Below are 17,076 nucleotides of genomic sequence, written 5' to 3' on the forward strand. Positions count from 1 at the left end.
GAGGTAGTGAGCAGAGATCACGCCACTGCACTCAATATGTGAAAATGACCATACTGCCAAAAGCCCTCTGCAAATTAAATGCAATTCCCATTAAAATACCACCAACATTCTTCACAGAACTAGAAAAAACAATCCTGAAATTCACATGGAACCAAAAAAGAGCCTGTGAGTCAAAGCAATACTAAGCATAAAGAACAAATCTGGAGGCATCACATTACCCAACTTCAAACTATAAGGGCATAGTCACCAAGACAGCATGGTACTGGTATAAAAATAGACACATAGACCAATGAAACAGAATAGAGAACCCAGAAATAAAGACAAATACTTACAGCCAACCGATCTTTGACAAAGCAAACAAAAACATAAAGTGGGAAAAGGACACCCTATTCAACAAATGGTGCTGGGATAATTGGCAAGCCACATGTAGGAGAATGAAACTGGATCCTCATCTCTAACCTTATACAAAAATCAACTGAAGATGGATCAAAGACTTAAAGACCTGAAACCATAAAGATTCTAGAAGATAACATCAGAAAAACCCTTCTAGACACTGGCTTAGGCAAAGACTTCATGACCAAGAACCCAAAAGCAAATGCAACAAAAACAAAGACAAATAGATGGGACTCAATTAAACTAAAAAGCTTCTTCACAGCAAAAGAAATAATCAACAGAGTTAACAAACAACCCACAGAGTGGGAGAAAATCTTTACAAAATCTATACATGTGACAAAGGACTAATATCCAGAATCTAAAAAGAACTCAAACAAATCATCAAGAAAAAACAAACAATTCCATCAAAAAGTGGGCTAAGGACATGAATAGACAATTCTGAAAAGAAGATATACAAATGGCCAATAAGCATATGGAAAAAATGCTCAACACCACTAATTATCAGGGAAATGCAAATCAAAACCACGACGTGATACCACCTCACTCCTGCAAGAATGGCCATAATCAAAACATAAAAAAATAATAGATGTTGGCATGGATGCGGTGAAAAGGGAACACTTTTACACTGTTGGTTGGAATGTAAAATAGTGCAACCACTAGGGAAAACAATGTGGAGATTCCTTAAAGAACTAAAAGTAGATCTACCATTTGATCCAGCCATCCCACTACTAGGAAAAGAAGTCATTATATAAAAAAGATACTTGCACATGTGTGTTTATGGCAGCACAGTTTGCAATTGCAAAAATATGGAACCAGCTAAAATGCCCATCAGTCAATGAGTATACAAGGAAATGTGGTATATGTATATACCATGGAGTACTACTCAGCCATAAAAAGGAATGAAATAACGGCATTCACAGCAACCTCGATGAAATTGGAGACTATTATTCTAAGTGAAGTAACTCAGGAATGTAAAACCAAATATTGAATGTTCTCACTCATATGTGGGAGCTAAGCTAGGAGGACACAAAGGCATAAGAATGATGCATGGGACTTTGGGGACTTGCGGGAAAAGGTTGGGGTGGCGAGAGATAAAAGAGTTCACATTAGGTACAGTGTACACTGCTTGGGTGATGGGTGCACCAAAATTTCAGAAATCACCACCAAGGAACTTACTCATGTAACCAAACACCTCTGTTCCCCAAAAACCTATTGAAATAAAAAAAATAAATTAATAAATTAATGTTTGTGTTATTCAAATACCCATAGGAGAAGTAATCTCCTTGAGACTGGAGCTCCATTTTCTTCACTTTTCTATGCCTGGAAATACCTCACAAAATGACTACAGAGTAGTTACCCAAGAGGTATTTGTTGACTCGTTATCTCTTACAGAATTTTAGATACCATCTATACTTCTTTTCTTACTGTACATTTTCCCTGGGTGAGCTCTCATTTATTCCTGCGGATGCACACATACCCTGACCAGTCACAGATCTCTACCTCCAGCTCAGGCTCTTCTCCTGAGCTCCAGCCCCACGTGTCCAAGTGTCTGCTGGGAATCTCCTAGATGTTGTGGGCTAACTCCAACTCAGAATGCCCATGTCTGAACTGTTAGTATTTCTTTCCAGAATGGCCATTTCTTACACTTCCCCTACCTTGGCTAACAGGAAAATCGTTATCTACTCAGTTGCCTAAATCACAATTTTGAGGCGTAGAAACTTTCCCTCGTCCTTTCCTCCCATTTTTAATCAAACATGTTTACATTCTTCTTTTTCCTTCTGGTTTAGGATCTCCTCCAAGACGGTTTCTGTCTCATTACTTATTAGCCTTGCCTAGGCCAAGGCTTGATTTAGGATATGTATGTTTTTAATACATGTCTAATGAATGGGAATTTTTTGTAGCTTTTAGATTTTCTGTTGAGAAACACACATAAACACATACTCACAAACACGTGTGTGCCTGGAAGCACATACATGTAGTATTCACCCAAGTCGTCCAAGTTCACTGAGTCCTGTCCAGACCTTTAATTCTCTCAGTTTATTTGTGAGATTGTTGTGTGGCACAAGCTTACAGGCATGTGTAATTGTTAAGGGAATATGGATTGAGAACTCTGCCATGATAACTCATAGCTCCTTCTGGGTAGTTAAGCCTTACATCCCATTCTGCCAAACCCTTCTCAGACATTCAACCATTTTCTTTCTCCCTTGTTAACAAATTTTTTAAAATATTTTTTAAAAGGAAAGAAAAGAAAATCCTACCTTATGAAATCATCTTGGCCTTGATGAGAATCTTGGCCTTGATGAGCTTAGATTCTCAATTGACTATTTTCCATTCTGTCACTAAGATGTATTTGGAAAACAACAAATAACCCCTGAGCCCTGCTATTGTTTCTTTATGGTTTATGTTTCATGCTGTGCTGCTTAGCCAGCAGGGAGGGAGGCTTAACTGACAAACCCAGTTTTTGTAGCTGTGCTGATATCATCCACAATTCAAAGCCACAGTGAAAAATTACAAATCAGCCTCAGCCATGTTTTTTTGTTGTTCTTCTTACTGAGAAACACACATGCACAGACAAAGAAGTTCCATGTTTGCTGAGTGGGACCAAGCAATCTTGGTGTAGAATGAAGAAAAAATGGTGAAACTATGGAGGGTGAAATTATTTAAACTGTAAAAAGCAAATGACTTTGTTTTCCGGATCTTTTATACCACCTCCTTTGATGCAGCCTGCTTCCTGCATGAAGCCTGTTTTGTTTGTTACTTGTTTTCTTATCCTGAGATTGCGCTAAAATTGCATGACTCTGTTACAATTCTTGGATAACTTTTCAAGAACCACTTTGGAAAAATTATTGTACAATAGTATCTCTCTGGAATCCAGTTTTATTCTCTCCCAGTCACTTACTTTGCCAATGGCCCATTAGCTGTGTAAGTGATGTAGCTCTTCCTTTTTTCACTCATGGATTACTTCTGCTTGGCATATCTTCTTTCACCTTGAGCAGCAGTCAAAATTTTACTTATTTCTTAATATTCAACTTAAATATCACCTTTGTGAAAAGCCTTTCGGGTTCATATTATTATGATCTATTCATATTTATTCAGTTCTCTAGTAAGTACTGTATGCATAAGTAGGCATCTGATAAATATTTATTAAGTTGATATTAACATATGGCTTAAGAAATTGCTAATTTTATAATACAGTAGTTTTATTTTTTATGCAAACAACAAAAGACATCTTAAAAAGCTATTCTTTTTTTTTTGAGAAGGAGAGTCTCACTGTGTTGCCCAGGCTGGAGTACAGTGGCGCAGTCTTGGCTCACTGCAACCTCTACCTCCCAGGCTCAAGCAATTCTCTGCCTCAGCCTCCCGAGTAGCTGGGATTACAGGTGTCCGCTGCCACGCCCAGCTAATTTCATATTTTTAGTAGAGACGGGGTTTCACCATCTTGACCAGGCTGGTCTTGAACTCCTGATCTCGTGATCCACCCACCTCGGCCTCCCAAAGTGCTGGGATTACAGATGTGAGCCACTGCGCCCGGCCCAAAAAGCTATTTTCTTTTTAAGCCTCAACAATACATATTAAAAAATACAAGAGAAAGAATGTTTGTTAAGAAAAAAATTTAGACATACAAGTGTGCAATTTAGAGAAACTTTTTTTCTAAAATATTATAAATTTAGAAAAATTTTGCAAACAGAAAACACTGTAGGGACAATATATGATAAGTAAATTGTACTTCAGCAACTCATTGCTTTTTAGATACCACTGAATTATTTGCACTAATGGAGGAACATTGTTATACCAACCTATTTATATTTGATCCACATTTTAAGATTCCTGTTCAGCTTATTTACTTTCTTACTTATGTCTTATCTGGATTCTTATTAACGTTAGTTCTCCCTTACTTGCTTGGAGGAGAAATCATTAGAAACATGCTGAGAACTGGGAGATGGCCACTTCAAGTTTAAATTTGCTATGAAGAAGCTACCAATAACCTTCTTTCAGTCTAAATTAAGGTGGCCTGTAGTTTTACAACCCAAAGCATGATTGTGGGATGCTAATTTAGGGAACTATTCTGCAGAAACCATGACACAATCAGCTTGCTGGTCCGTATTTAGAACCATACTTGGAAATTGTGCTCAGGTCTGCAATTTGTAATTCATGGGTAGGGGTTGAATCTAGAGGTGGCTGAGAGTTCAGCCACAAAGGTGATAAAAGGATTGGGAAAGAACTATGAAGGAATTTAAAGAAACTGGGATTAGCTTGGAAAGAGAGGAAGATAAAGAGCAATTTAATCGCAATCTTTATGTACATAGAGAAGCTTAGCGGAACACAGTGACCAGTGTTTTCTGCCTCACCTGAGGACAACACAAGAGGCTTAAACTGCAATATGAGGGATTTGGGATAGGCATAAGGAAGTATCTACTAACAAGCAAAATTGGAGTAGACTACTGAGAAATATGGTAGAATTTCCATCTCTGAGGACTGAAAATGTATATATTCTATTCCTTTCGAGTGTTTTAAGGTAAATCTTGCTCAAAGATGTTGACCTGAACTTGATGGCTTCCTGGAAATCCATTCATTGTGTGACATTACTGTTTTTAGAAGCTTCTTCATAGATGGCAGGGAGGAGCAAGTACACCAATCAAGTCACGGGCAGTGTGATATGGAGAAAAGGGCTCCAGGCTGAGAGGCAAGGGAACTTGATTGCTGTCTCTGATGTACTGCAATTAGTTGAGTGTTCTTATACTTGTCACTTAACTCCTCTGTGCTTCGGTTTTCTAATCTATAAAATGAGGGAGCCAACCTAAATGGCTCAAAAAGGAGTTTAAAAGTAAGAAAGCATAATATTCAGTAAACATAAGCTAAAACCCTCTCCCGGGCCAGCCACGGAGCAAGACTTCTTCACGTATTATCTTCTAGAGCATCTCATCTGATATAGTTTGATTGTGTCCCCACCCAAATCTCACCTTGAATTGTAGCTCCCATAATTCCCACGTGTTGTGAGAGGGACCCGGTGGGAGGTAATTGAATCATGGTGGTGGGTCTTTCCTGTGCTGTTTTCATGATAGTAAATAAGTCTCACAAGATCTGATGGTTTTATAAAGGGGAGTTCCCCTACATAAGCTCTCTTGCCTGGTGCCGTGTAAGACGTAACTTTGCTCCTCCTTGCCTTCTGCCATGATTGTGCAGCTTCCCCAGCCATGTGGAACTGCAGGTCCATTAAACCCTCGGGTATGTCTTTATTAGCGCATGAGAACATACTAATACATCCTCCAACCCATTTTACAGGTGAGCAAACTGAGGGCCAGAGAGACTAAGTGACTTGCCAGTTTTACATAGCTAGTTTCAGTTCTGGGTAGAACCCAAATCTCCTGACTCCTAGGCCAGGACTCATTTATTTTACTGAGCTAGGTCTTTGATAATCATGCTTTGATACAGTCTTTGAGAATCCATTCTAGTTTTTCTTTACTTCGTTTCTTTTTTTCTTCCAGAAATGTTTATTATGCCCTACTAAATGATAGGCACTATGTTAGGTACAGAATGGAACTCTGATGGACTCTTCCAGGATTTTAAATTCAAAACTCAAGTGTTTCAGTTAGTGAAGGAGGCTTCTGGATCTTTCCAGGCATGTAGATGTCTTTAAAGATGCAATCAGGCCTCCTCGTCACAAGTGTGTGGCCAGAGATGGAGAAACAAAAGATTGACATAAGTATCCTCCAAGGTTTGGAGTCACTTCTGGCTTTGCCTAAGAAGGCAGTAGGGCACTCTTGCCTTTCTTCAAATAGTCTCTTCCCTTTCTCTCCCTCCAGGCCCCAGATATGGATGCTTAGCATGACTTAGGCGAAACTTTTCCAACTCCCACAACTGCACCCCTGTTCTCTCCTTGGGGTCCAAGGCCAGTTATTCAGTTTGAAGACTGCCTGGGTTTAAATCCTACTTTCCCACATACCAACTGTTGACCTTAGATTAGTTACTTAATGCATTCTGTGAAATGGCAGTAATACTGATATCCACCTCAGAGGGTTGTTATAAGAATTAAATAAAACAATTCCAGTAGAGCTGTGATTCTTACTAAAAAAGTAATAAGTGTTAGCACTCAATAAGTTTTAGCAATTTATATTAATATTTCCAATGTAGCGATAATACTGTCCTCCTCAGCAATGGTCCCTTCAGCCCAGTTTTGAGACCAAACCCCTCCCAGGTCTTTTTAAATTGTGCTTTTTTCTTCAGGGTCCGTCAACTGGGGTATATTTCTGTTTGGAGACAGTGTACAGACACTTACATATTCAGATTCTATAGTCTGACCATCCTAAGTTCAAATCCCTGCTCTAATGTATAATTGGAGGAAACCTTCCTGTAAGTATGATGGGCATGCCTACATAACGGCTTTGAAATACATGTGCTGGCCATTCATGAATTTAATTTTGTTCCTTTAGAACCATTTAACAGAGCATATTATTATGCCATTAATTATTATTAGTAGTAATAATAATGATAGTCATTATGTATTAAGGGCCTACTCTGTGTTAGCACTGTGCTAAATGTTTTGCATACATTATATCTAACTTTTACAATAACCCTCTAAAGTAAGTTGTTTCATCCCCCTTTTATACCTGAAAAAATTGAGACTAAGGAAGGTAAATAAATTGTCCAAGATTACAAGCTAGTAAGAGACAGAGCCAGAATTTAGTCTGAAAATCAGGTTTCTGTAGCTCCAAAGCCCAAAGCCCATGATCACTATAACTCCTTCCTTACCATCTGAGATGGTAAGGACAAGGCATCTTACCTCTAGGTTGGGAGCTAAAGATCATAATGGTTTCGGCCTTACTAGTATGATTAGCTTAGTGAAAATATGATTCACTTAGTGAAAATATTTATCAGCTTAATGAAATTTTATTAGCTTAATGAAACTTTCATTAGCTTAATGAAAAGATTTTCTCTTGCTGGCAAAATAATTCATGTACTGCTTAATCAATGTTGAATCATTATTCTTACTAGATTTATACAACCTATTTCATTGTCTCGCCTTTAACACAGTGTGAAAATTTGCTGAAAAACTGAGAGATGTCATTTTTAGAAACCAACATCTTTGATTTTTTTTTAAAAGAACTTAGTTCTATTCATCATTTTGGGTCCATACCTAAAACAGCTCTTGATGTGTAAGACATGCTTTATAAATTTGTGTTGAATGACATGAATGAATGAGAATTCAGTCTGGTTAAAAACAGCTTTATTTTAAAGCACTTGATACAGTGAAATGAGCTGTGGACACACGTCAAATAATCTATTCTCTAGATTTAGCCTGGCATTGACCCGCTGTGTGACTTACGTCAAGCCACTATTTCTTGACTGGCCCTCACATGCAATTTATCCTTTGCAAAATGATGGGATTTAATCTAAATGATTGCTAAGGTTCCTTCCAGGTCTCAGCTTTTGCAGCTTCCTATAGACTGTGAACATGGGAATACAGTCTGATTTTCTCAGTGACTCATCTGGGACCCTAGAAACTGGCAGATTGGGAAAGAAAACTAATATTCTCTAAAACTGAATTTCTTAACTTACAGATTATAAAACTCTACTTTTTACCATGTCTAAAAATTCAGTATTCGTGGAACAGCTGATATTATCTTTTGCTGATGGGCAAAATTAACAGGCACCTTTGAGACCTAGCTTCATATCTATGAAAATTCATTAAGTTGAAAGTTCATTTGTAAACAAGCTTCTCTAGACAGCTGAGAAGTGATTGTTCTATCTTGCATTGTATATATTTTAATCTTTTGTATTGACCTGTAGTCATCTCACTGGTCAAGCTAACATGTTTTTGATAGCCAAGAGTTGGAAAACCTGGTCACTATTGGCCTAATTGTACTCTTGGACCACCCATGGAACTCTTGGCAATTAGATTTTCTTATAAAACTCTTTCCTAGAGGGCCCTTTGTGGATAAGATGAGCCTCACATTGCATTTTAGAATAGTACGTGCTAAGAAGCAGTGCAAGTAAAAGTGTGACATTATAGAAGATGCCTCTGGCTTACTCATCTTCATTATGACAGGAATTTGCCATTGTCAATGTCTTATATGTTGTAGAATGAGAAAGAAATGACTCTTTGGAGTAGATATCTGCAATAAAATCTGGATTGATCTACTTACAGTCAGTTTCAGAGTAGGCAGTCTCCAGGGCACTGGGAGTAACTAGACTCTGGTCTCCAGGCCTAGGTTCAGCTACATTCCCTACAAGGCCTTTGGCGTGTACCTGTTCAGTTGGTCAGTCACCCTGTTTCCAAACAAAGGACATGGCCCTGAAAACTATACACAACAGGGCAAGATCCTGGCTCTAGTTTGGGATTCGTCATGTCTTTTTAGTTAGGCAAGCCTTCAATTTAGGGGACAGGATCAGAGCTGTGTCATAGATCTCTTATATCTTTGTGCCCTATCTTGCCCTCAAGACTGCCTCATCTCTTTGATTAGTTCCTGATGCTGTCATGGGCTAGGCCACCTTCCTCATTTCCTACTAAAATTTTCACTTTAACTAGGTTGAAGCAACTCATATCATTTCTAGCATGTCACTGAATTCTATCCCTGCTCTTCAGAATCAGTTACACTTTTTCAACTAGGTATCCAGCACTGAGAAGGCACAGAGGAGACCAGGCCTGTAGCCAGTTGAGAGGTTACAAAAAGCATCAAATTGTAGGACAGTCTTATACAGGTGACTTTCTCATTCAGTGTAATGTGGATTATATAAGTTGAGGCTTTTTGATTGCAAGCAATATAAATTACTTTGGCTAACTGAAAGGAAAAAAGAGTAATTTTTGAAGGTATAGAGAGTGTGTCATAGAATTGAAGGAAAAGTAGAACAGATTTTCAGAGTAGGACATCTGTGGGAGTAGAGGAAACAGAAACTAATGGTCACGTCAAGGCACCACCACTGGAATGAGTTCACTCCAGACATTTTCTGTTAAACATCTTTATTGTTTGACTAGTCATTCAGATTCCCAGCAGAGAATCTGACTGGCTTTGATTATAAGCCTACCTCTTAGCCAGGGAAGGCCCTGTACCTTAGATGACAGTCCTACCAGCACTGCCCATAATAAAGGTCAGGGGTGGTTACCCAAAGCCAAGCACTTTTGGTGTTCCTACCAAAAAAAGGACATTCAAAGGCAACAGATGTCTACTACAAAATCTGTTCTATGGGATCTACAGTGAGGGAATAGATTCAGCCTTACAGCTAAAGAAACGGATTGCTATGCAGAGATTTCTGCTTCTTAGGAGTTGCCAAAAAGACCCTTATCCGGCTTAGGAGTTCTTGGCTGTGATTTTAGTGTTCTTTTGTTTCCCAAGTATTTTTAAAATGTAAATCAGTAACTAGCAAGAGGCATCTTTGGTCATTGTAGTTGCTTGGAGTAGAATAAATTTAAAAAATTCTTTGATGTGAGAAAAATTACTATCATCATTATCACACATGGAAGGTCAACATTAGGGCCAGTCATTGGAGTTAAACTGTCAGAAGAACATCCCAGTTACTTTCTCACTTTTGAGTTGTGTAGACTGACAGGATTTGAGTCTTTGAGGGCTTTGACTAGGGTAACTGACCTCAAAACAAATAGCTAGAGGGATATTTCTACTTCTATCCGCTGAGGGATTTGTAGCAAGAAGCCATATTGTGGATGGTATATTTTAATAACAAAGGGGATTTTAAAAGGAGGATGACACATTGATTTGGAATGTTTTCTCAACTGTATTTACTTATTCTTAAATATTTTCCTTCATGCTTTCTTTCTCAAGTGGATGACCAGCTGGTTGCCACCTTTTTCTTCTCTCTTTGCCTCTGTTCCTAATTTCTTTCTTATCCTTAACCACTCCACTTTCCTTCCTCCAATCTTGTTTTCTCTCTAAATCTTTCCTCCAACCTTATTGAATCTCTCCCCTTCTTTTTGTTATCTGGTCATTTGATCTATAATTTCGATTCCTTTTCCTGAAATTCCCTCCTTTTTCCTTTTCCCCTAAACCATCATTCTAGTCCTCCCCACACCCAAGCTTCTTATCTCTTTGCTGTTAATCTCCAATGTGTTTATTGACTTGTGTGCCAAAAGGCAAAATCCCCAGCCCCCTCCCAACCATGCCAGTGCATTGAAAAGCAGCAGCTGTCATTGCTCAACAAGTTCCTTGTGATCTACAAATCAATGGATAAGAATTCTCACAGTGAAGGTTTACATGTATATATTTGTATGTATATATGAGACATGTGACCATGTTTAATGAATGGAGAAGGACTTGGATCTTTTCTAGTAGAGAAGAGAAGCAGAAAGCTTTGCCTAACCCTATTTCTTTACTAAGGTAATGAAAAAATTATACAGGGAAAATAAATGATGTTAATGAGAGAAACAGGGACAGGAGACCAATAAACAATCATCAGGCATGAGAATATCTTGCTGAACTTATTATTGATAGTAGACACAGGAATGTAATATAAATGCAGTGATGGAACAGAAAGCAGACTCAGGAAAGAAAGAGATGATAATAAATAGTAATAAAATCCAAGTGATTCATATGCTCAAGTGAAAGAAAGAAGAAAGAGGGCAGTGTACACAAAGTAAAAGGGCAAGAAAATGGAAGTAGAGTCATCACTCGTAGAGATAAATAGTTGGGAAATATGAGAAGCCTTCCTGACATCAGTAAAATATTACATGTTAAACAGCAAACAAAAGACAACAACAGTGTCTGTAGTACTTTTGGAATATAAAAGTTAGATAATACTAGAGTAGTATCTTCAAAATAAGCAACTTCAGAAATCAAGTCCCCAGTAAAGGGAATTGGAAGAATTTGAATAGATGAAATAAGGAGCAGTGGCAAGTGATACAAACCTTAAGCAGGAAAAGTGATTTTAAATGGTACTGGCAGGTTAACAACTGGCAAAAAGAAAAAAAAAGAAAAGAAAAGCAAGATGGTGCTATATCCCCCAGGTGCTGGGAAACCAACCTGGCCTAAAAAAGGAGCAGACCCACCTAACTTTTTGCCAAGCACTGTGCTAGGTGCATTGCATACACTTTTAATTTAAGCCTCGCTGTACATAAAAGTGAAGCCAAGGTCTGAGAATGATATCCATTGGGAGGAAAAAACAGGAAAATTTTCTGAGCCAGTTCCAAAGTCATAAGGCTCAGGGGGAATAACTTTGACTTTGTCAAGTCAGAGTGAACAGCCAGAGTCAGCAGACATAGGATATTGTCAGAGGTAAATCACCAGCTTGGTCTGGTCTGTCTTATTGCAAGGTCAGAGGACCATAGCAAGCCAGCCAAATGTTTTCAACCATGGAAATCCCCTAACTTTCCAACTGCTGCAGTCCCACAGCTCTGAGCTTTTACTCACAGGATGGCTCCCTTCCAGCTTTCAAATCTCTCCAAGTTGATTAATCATTTTCTTGTTCTGACTCATTCAGGCCTCTAGAAAAATAGCTGTAGGTACTGGAAGGGCTATGTAGATCAAGGAGGTCAGATAAATTGGCTTGATGTTGGTCTATAGAAAAATCTAGAAGATATTGCCAAAAGCTTTTAAGCATACCGTCTTCAGATGCTGGGATGTGGGCTATATCCACAGGCCATTGGCTCATTCATGTGTTTGAAGCAGAATATTTTTGTGTGCATTAGGAGACTTGGGTATGTTCATTTCTTAATGTAATGTTAGATATTGTAAGCTGGTTGTTTAGACAGTAGAATTTCATTGTGACCACTTATTTTTATATCTATTTAGATGGAGTACAGGCCAGATTATAACCCCCTAACAAGAACAGCAACAGTAAACACACAGATAGTGCTTATTATTAGTTAAGCATGGTACTAATATTTTCCCTAAGAGGCCACATTCACAGGACTGAAATGTCAGTTCTGGTTGTCTGAGCCAAGGGCATATATGCTGATTACATTATTTTGTCTGGCTAATACACTTTATCATGAAGCTTATTTTAGAAGAAATGTTCATTTTTAGATTTCTGTTTGTATATTTAGGTCATACTATAAGGTCCATTCTCTTGCTTTTATAATAATTTAGTCTTCTGCTTTATTCATTCAATTCATGAACATTCATTAAGTACCTGAGTATGCTAGTCATTGGAGATGCAGTTGTAACTAAGGCATCACCCCAGACCTGAAGTTTTATGTTGTGTTTTGTGCTTAGTGATTGGCATAAGTAAAATACTTGAGGAAACACAGAAGCAGCAGCAAATATTTCTGCAAAGGAGAAGAGAAAATATTTGAGTTGAAGCTTCAAGAATATATCAACATTTTCCAGTTTGACAAGGGTGGGAGGAGCCCCATCAATACAGGGAACAGCATGTGGAAATGCAAAGAGGTGTGAAAGAGCATAGTATATTCAGGGTGAAAAAATACATTTTTTATGAATTGTAGTAGAAAATGAGCCGAAATAGGTTAAGTTGAGGTAAGATTGTGATGGGTCTTACAGCATACTAAGGCATTATCCTGTAAGTAATAGAAGGGCTTATGGAGGTTTTAAAGAAAGAGAGTAACTTCATTTGATTTCTTTTTTCAGGAAGAGAATTCTGATGATAGTGTAGGGTGGAAAAAAGGGGTAACAAAGGAACCAGTGGGAAAGCTGCTGTATAGTCTGGAAGTGGTAGCAGTAAGAGGAGAGGTGAAGGGACAGATTTGAGATGCATATCAGAAGTCAAATGAGCAGACTACTGTGACTGGTTGGATACAGGGGTGGGTGTTTGAGTGGGACCTCCAGTTAGGAACTCAGATGTCTGGATGGGTCATGCTGCCTTCAACAAGAAATTCAGAGGAAAAGCAGCCTTGGGGAATGATGAGGTCATTTTGTAACATGTTGAGTTTAAATTAAGGCACTAATGAGAAGAGACATTCAGGTGGAGAAGTCCAATGGACGACAATAGTATGGGTCAAGAAAGAAAGCTGAGAAGTATCTGAATTACAATTATGCATCACTTAATGATAGGAATGTGTTCTGAGAAATGAGTTATTAGGTGATTTCAACATTATGCAAACATCATCGAGTGCACTTACAAAAACCTAGATGGTATAGCCTGCTATACACCTTGGCTGGATGGTACAGCCTGTTATTCCTGGGCAGCAAACCTGTAGAGCATGTTATTGTACTGAATACTATAGGCAATTGGAACACAATGGCAAGTGTTTGTGTATCTAAACATAGAAATTAAACAGTAAATATATGGTATAAGAGATCAAAAATGGTATATCTATGAGGGTACTTACCATGAATGGAGCTTGCAGGACTGAAAGCTGTTCTGGGTGAGTCAGTGAGTGCACGGTAAGTAAATGTAAAGGCTTAGGATATTACTGTACACTACTGTAGATTTTATAAACACTACACTTAGGCTACACTAAATTTATTTTACAAATTTTCAACAATAAATTAAGTGTAATTACTGTAACTGTTTGACTTTATAAACTTTTAATTATTTTTAACTTTTTGACTCTTTTGTAGTAAAACTTAAATCAAGCACAAGAGAAAATGATATACAATCAAGAGGTAAACAGGAGATATATGAGGCTGCTGCTGCTGTTACATATAATATTGTTTTACAGTAAAATATTTTTAATATGTAGAAAGAGTACACTGTAAAATAATGATAAAAGTATAGCAGAGTAAAAACAAACCACTAACATAGTCATTTATTATCATTATCAAGTATTATGTGCCGTACATTATTGTATGTGCTGTGCTTTTATATGACTAACAATACAGTAGGTTTGTTTACACCAGCATCACCACAACCACGTGAGTAATATCTTGCACTATATCATTAGGACAGCTACAGTGTCACTACATGATAGGAATTTTTCAGCTCCATTATATTGTTGACCACGTAGCACATAACTGTACTTGAAGCCAAGACAGCCAATTAGATCAAGCAGAAGAGGAGGGGGCCAAGGACAGTAGTGTATTCTGTTTTGCTTTTTTTCCTCTTAAGAGCTGAGATCTTCGGCCGGGCGCGGTGGCTCACGCCTGTAATCCCAGCACTTTGGGAGGCCGAGGCGGGCGGATCACGAGGTCAGGAGATCGAGACCATCCCGGCTAAAACGGTGAAACCCCGTCTCTACTAAAAATACAAAAAATTAGCCGGGCGTAGTGGCGGGCGCCTGTAGTCCCAGCTACTTGGGAGGCTGAGGCAGGAGAATGGCGTGAACCCGGGAGGCGGAGCTTGCAGTGAGCCGAGATCCCGCCACTGCACTCCAGCCTGGGCGACAGAGCGAGACTCCGTCTCAAAAAAAAAAAAAAAAAAAAAAAAAAAAAGAGCTGAGATCTTACCTGCGTGCATGTGTTCATTGTAGCACTATTCACAATAGCAAAGATAAGGAATCAACCTAAATGCTCATCAGTGGTAGACTGGGTAAAGAAAATGTGGTATATATACACTGTAGAATACTACACAACCATAAAAAAAGAATGAGATCATGTCCTTTGCAGCAACATGGATGGAGCTGGAAGCCATTATCCTAAGTGAACTAACACATGAACAGAAAACCAAGCCATGTGTTCTTACTTATAAGTGAGAGCTAAACATTGAGCTAAACATATAGACACAAAGAAGGGAATAACAGACACCAGGGCCTACTTGAGGGTGGAGGGAGGCAGGAGGGTGATGATAGAAAAACTTCCTATCAGATACTATGCTTATTACCTGGGTGGCAAAATAATCTGTGCACTAAACTCCCATGACAGGCCATTTACCTATATAACAAACTGGTATATGTGCCCCTGAACCTAAAATAAAAGTTTAAAAATTAATTAATTAAACAAATAAGAGAAGAGGTCTTGCCATGTTGCCCAGGCTGGAGTGTAGTGGCCATTTGCAGGTGCATTTCCGCTACTGATCAGCATAGGAGTTTGATGTGCTCTGTTTCCAAACTGGGCAAGTTCAACCCTCCTTAGGCAACCTGGTTGTCCCCTGCTACTGTAACGTCACCATATTGATGTCAAATTTAGTGAGGATACCTGATCAGCATTGTGTCCTATAGCCCAGAACTCCTGGGCTCAAGCAATCCTCCTGCCTCAGCCTCTCTGGGAGCTGGGACTATAGGTGCCACCACCATGCCTGGTGAGATTGTGTATCAAGGAATTTATTCATGCTATATAGAGAGTTTTAGGAGTTCACCAACAGGGTTTTACAACCATGTTTGTTGTTTTTATGGCAGAACACACTTTGGATTCTGTTCTTCTTCTACATATGACTAACAGACTTTTTAATGAGGTCTGATGCCTCAATCAAAGGCTAGTAAAACACTGACCCCTTCTAGGCCATTATCTTTGTGTCTATTTGGGGAGGAGTTGGGGAGTTGTTCTCTGAAACGCAAACATGTACTCCTGCTCAGCTTTCCCTGGCTGACCTGGATTCCAAATGACTGTTGGCTCCTCTATATAGATTTGCAGACATCCACACAAAGGAGTGTCATTTGTATGCAGCCCCTTAACTAATTGTAACAGTCTGTTCCTTAAGTCTCTGAGAAAGCACACAAATTGATTCCCCAGCACTTGCCTATTTTTGAGGACACCTGTATGACCCTTCATCAAACCAGCTGACACATTCTGCCTGCCTTTATTCACCTGCTATTTCAATTATGTGAGCAGTGATGTATCTGTCTCAAAAATCTCTGTCCTGGGAAATTTCTTCAGAAGAGAATTATTGGAAAAAAATTTTTTTGCTGTGGAGCCAACTCAGGGCTTTAAATCTTTTCCAGCCTACAGAGCACCTGGATTCAAGTGTCTATTCCCTCCTGACTCTGGAAGAATGAGTTACATCTTGAATTGAGGATCATAAGCACATTGAGAAACTATGAGTTTATTTCTTCCTGCTGTTAACTGAAGCAATGAAAAATAAACAAATCTAGATAGCCCAGAGCCAGTTTTAAGTATCACAAGATGGGGCCTAGCAATGTACTAGAACTTAGGAGCCTTAGTTTCAAAATATTTTTAAAAACTTTATTGAAACATAGTTCACATACCATCAAATTTACCTATTTAAAATGTCCAATTGAGTAATTTTTGTGTATTCCCTGAGTTGTGTAACTATTGTCATTATCAAGTTTGAGAACATTTTTACTCCCAAAAGAAATCTTGTACCCATTAGCAGTCACTCTGCATTTCTTCTCCTTACTCCCCATCCCAGCCCTAGGCAAACACTGCTTTCTGTCTCTATGGATTTGAGATTTTTTTCTGCTTTTTAGCTATTATAAATAATGCTGCTGTGAACATTTACATGCAGTGTTTTACATGGACATGTGTTTTCATTTCTCTTTTTTTTTTTTTTTTTTTTTTGAGACGGAGTCTTGCTCTGTCACCAGGCTGGAGTGCAGTGGTGCAATCTCAGCTCACTGCAACCTCTGCCTCCCGGTTCAAGTGATTCCCCTGCCTCAGCCTCCCAAGTAGCTGGGATTACAGGCATGCACCACCACGCCCAGCTGATCTTTTGTATTTTAGTAGAGATGGTGTTTCACCGTGTTGGCCAAGATGGTCTCGATCTCCTGACTTTGTGAGCCACCCACCTCGGCCTCCCAAAGTGCCTCAGCCTCCGAAGCATTTATCATATGAATATATCTCCGAGTAGAATTGCTGGGTTATATGTTAACTCTGTTTTCTTTTAACATTTTGAGGAGCTGCCAAATCATTTTCCAAAGTGACCACACCATTTTACATTCCCACC

At 38.8% G+C, this 17,076-nt stretch overlaps 1 protein-coding gene and 1 pseudogene across 12 annotated transcripts in view, besides 2 other annotated features; one reads left to right on the top strand and one right to left on the bottom strand.

Moving 5' to 3' along the window:
- The window catches only part of RAD51B (RAD51 paralog B), an 863,318-nt gene that overhangs the window by 401,285 nt on the left and 444,957 nt on the right, over nt 1-17,076 (top strand). The window lies entirely within an intron of this gene.
- Nucleotides 11,084-12,283: an enhancer, noted in NCBI's record as "CDK7 strongly-dependent group 2 enhancer chr14:68698864-68700063 (GRCh37/hg19 assembly coordinates)". NCBI's record gives its function as "activates an origin of replication core promoter dependent on BRD2, BRD4, P300/CBP, MED14 and CDK7 cofactors, with strong dependence on CDK7, by STARR-seq in HCT116 cells {active_cell/tissue: HCT116}" and the evidence as "EXISTENCE:reporter gene assay evidence [ECO:0000049][PMID:35650434]".
- Nucleotides 11,550-11,919: an enhancer, noted in NCBI's record as "active region_8591". NCBI's record gives its function as "activates an Ori minimal core promoter by ATAC-STARR-seq in GM12878 lymphoblastoid cells {active_cell/tissue: GM12878}" and the evidence as "EXISTENCE:reporter gene assay evidence [ECO:0000049][PMID:35858748]".
- Nucleotides 15,180-15,476, bottom strand: RN7SL108P (RNA, 7SL, cytoplasmic 108, pseudogene; annotated as a pseudogene).

Source organism: Homo sapiens, chromosome 14, assembly GCF_000001405.40.
Source record: "Homo sapiens chromosome 14, GRCh38.p14 Primary Assembly".
Taxonomy (NCBI): domain Eukaryota; kingdom Metazoa; phylum Chordata; class Mammalia; order Primates; family Hominidae; genus Homo; species Homo sapiens.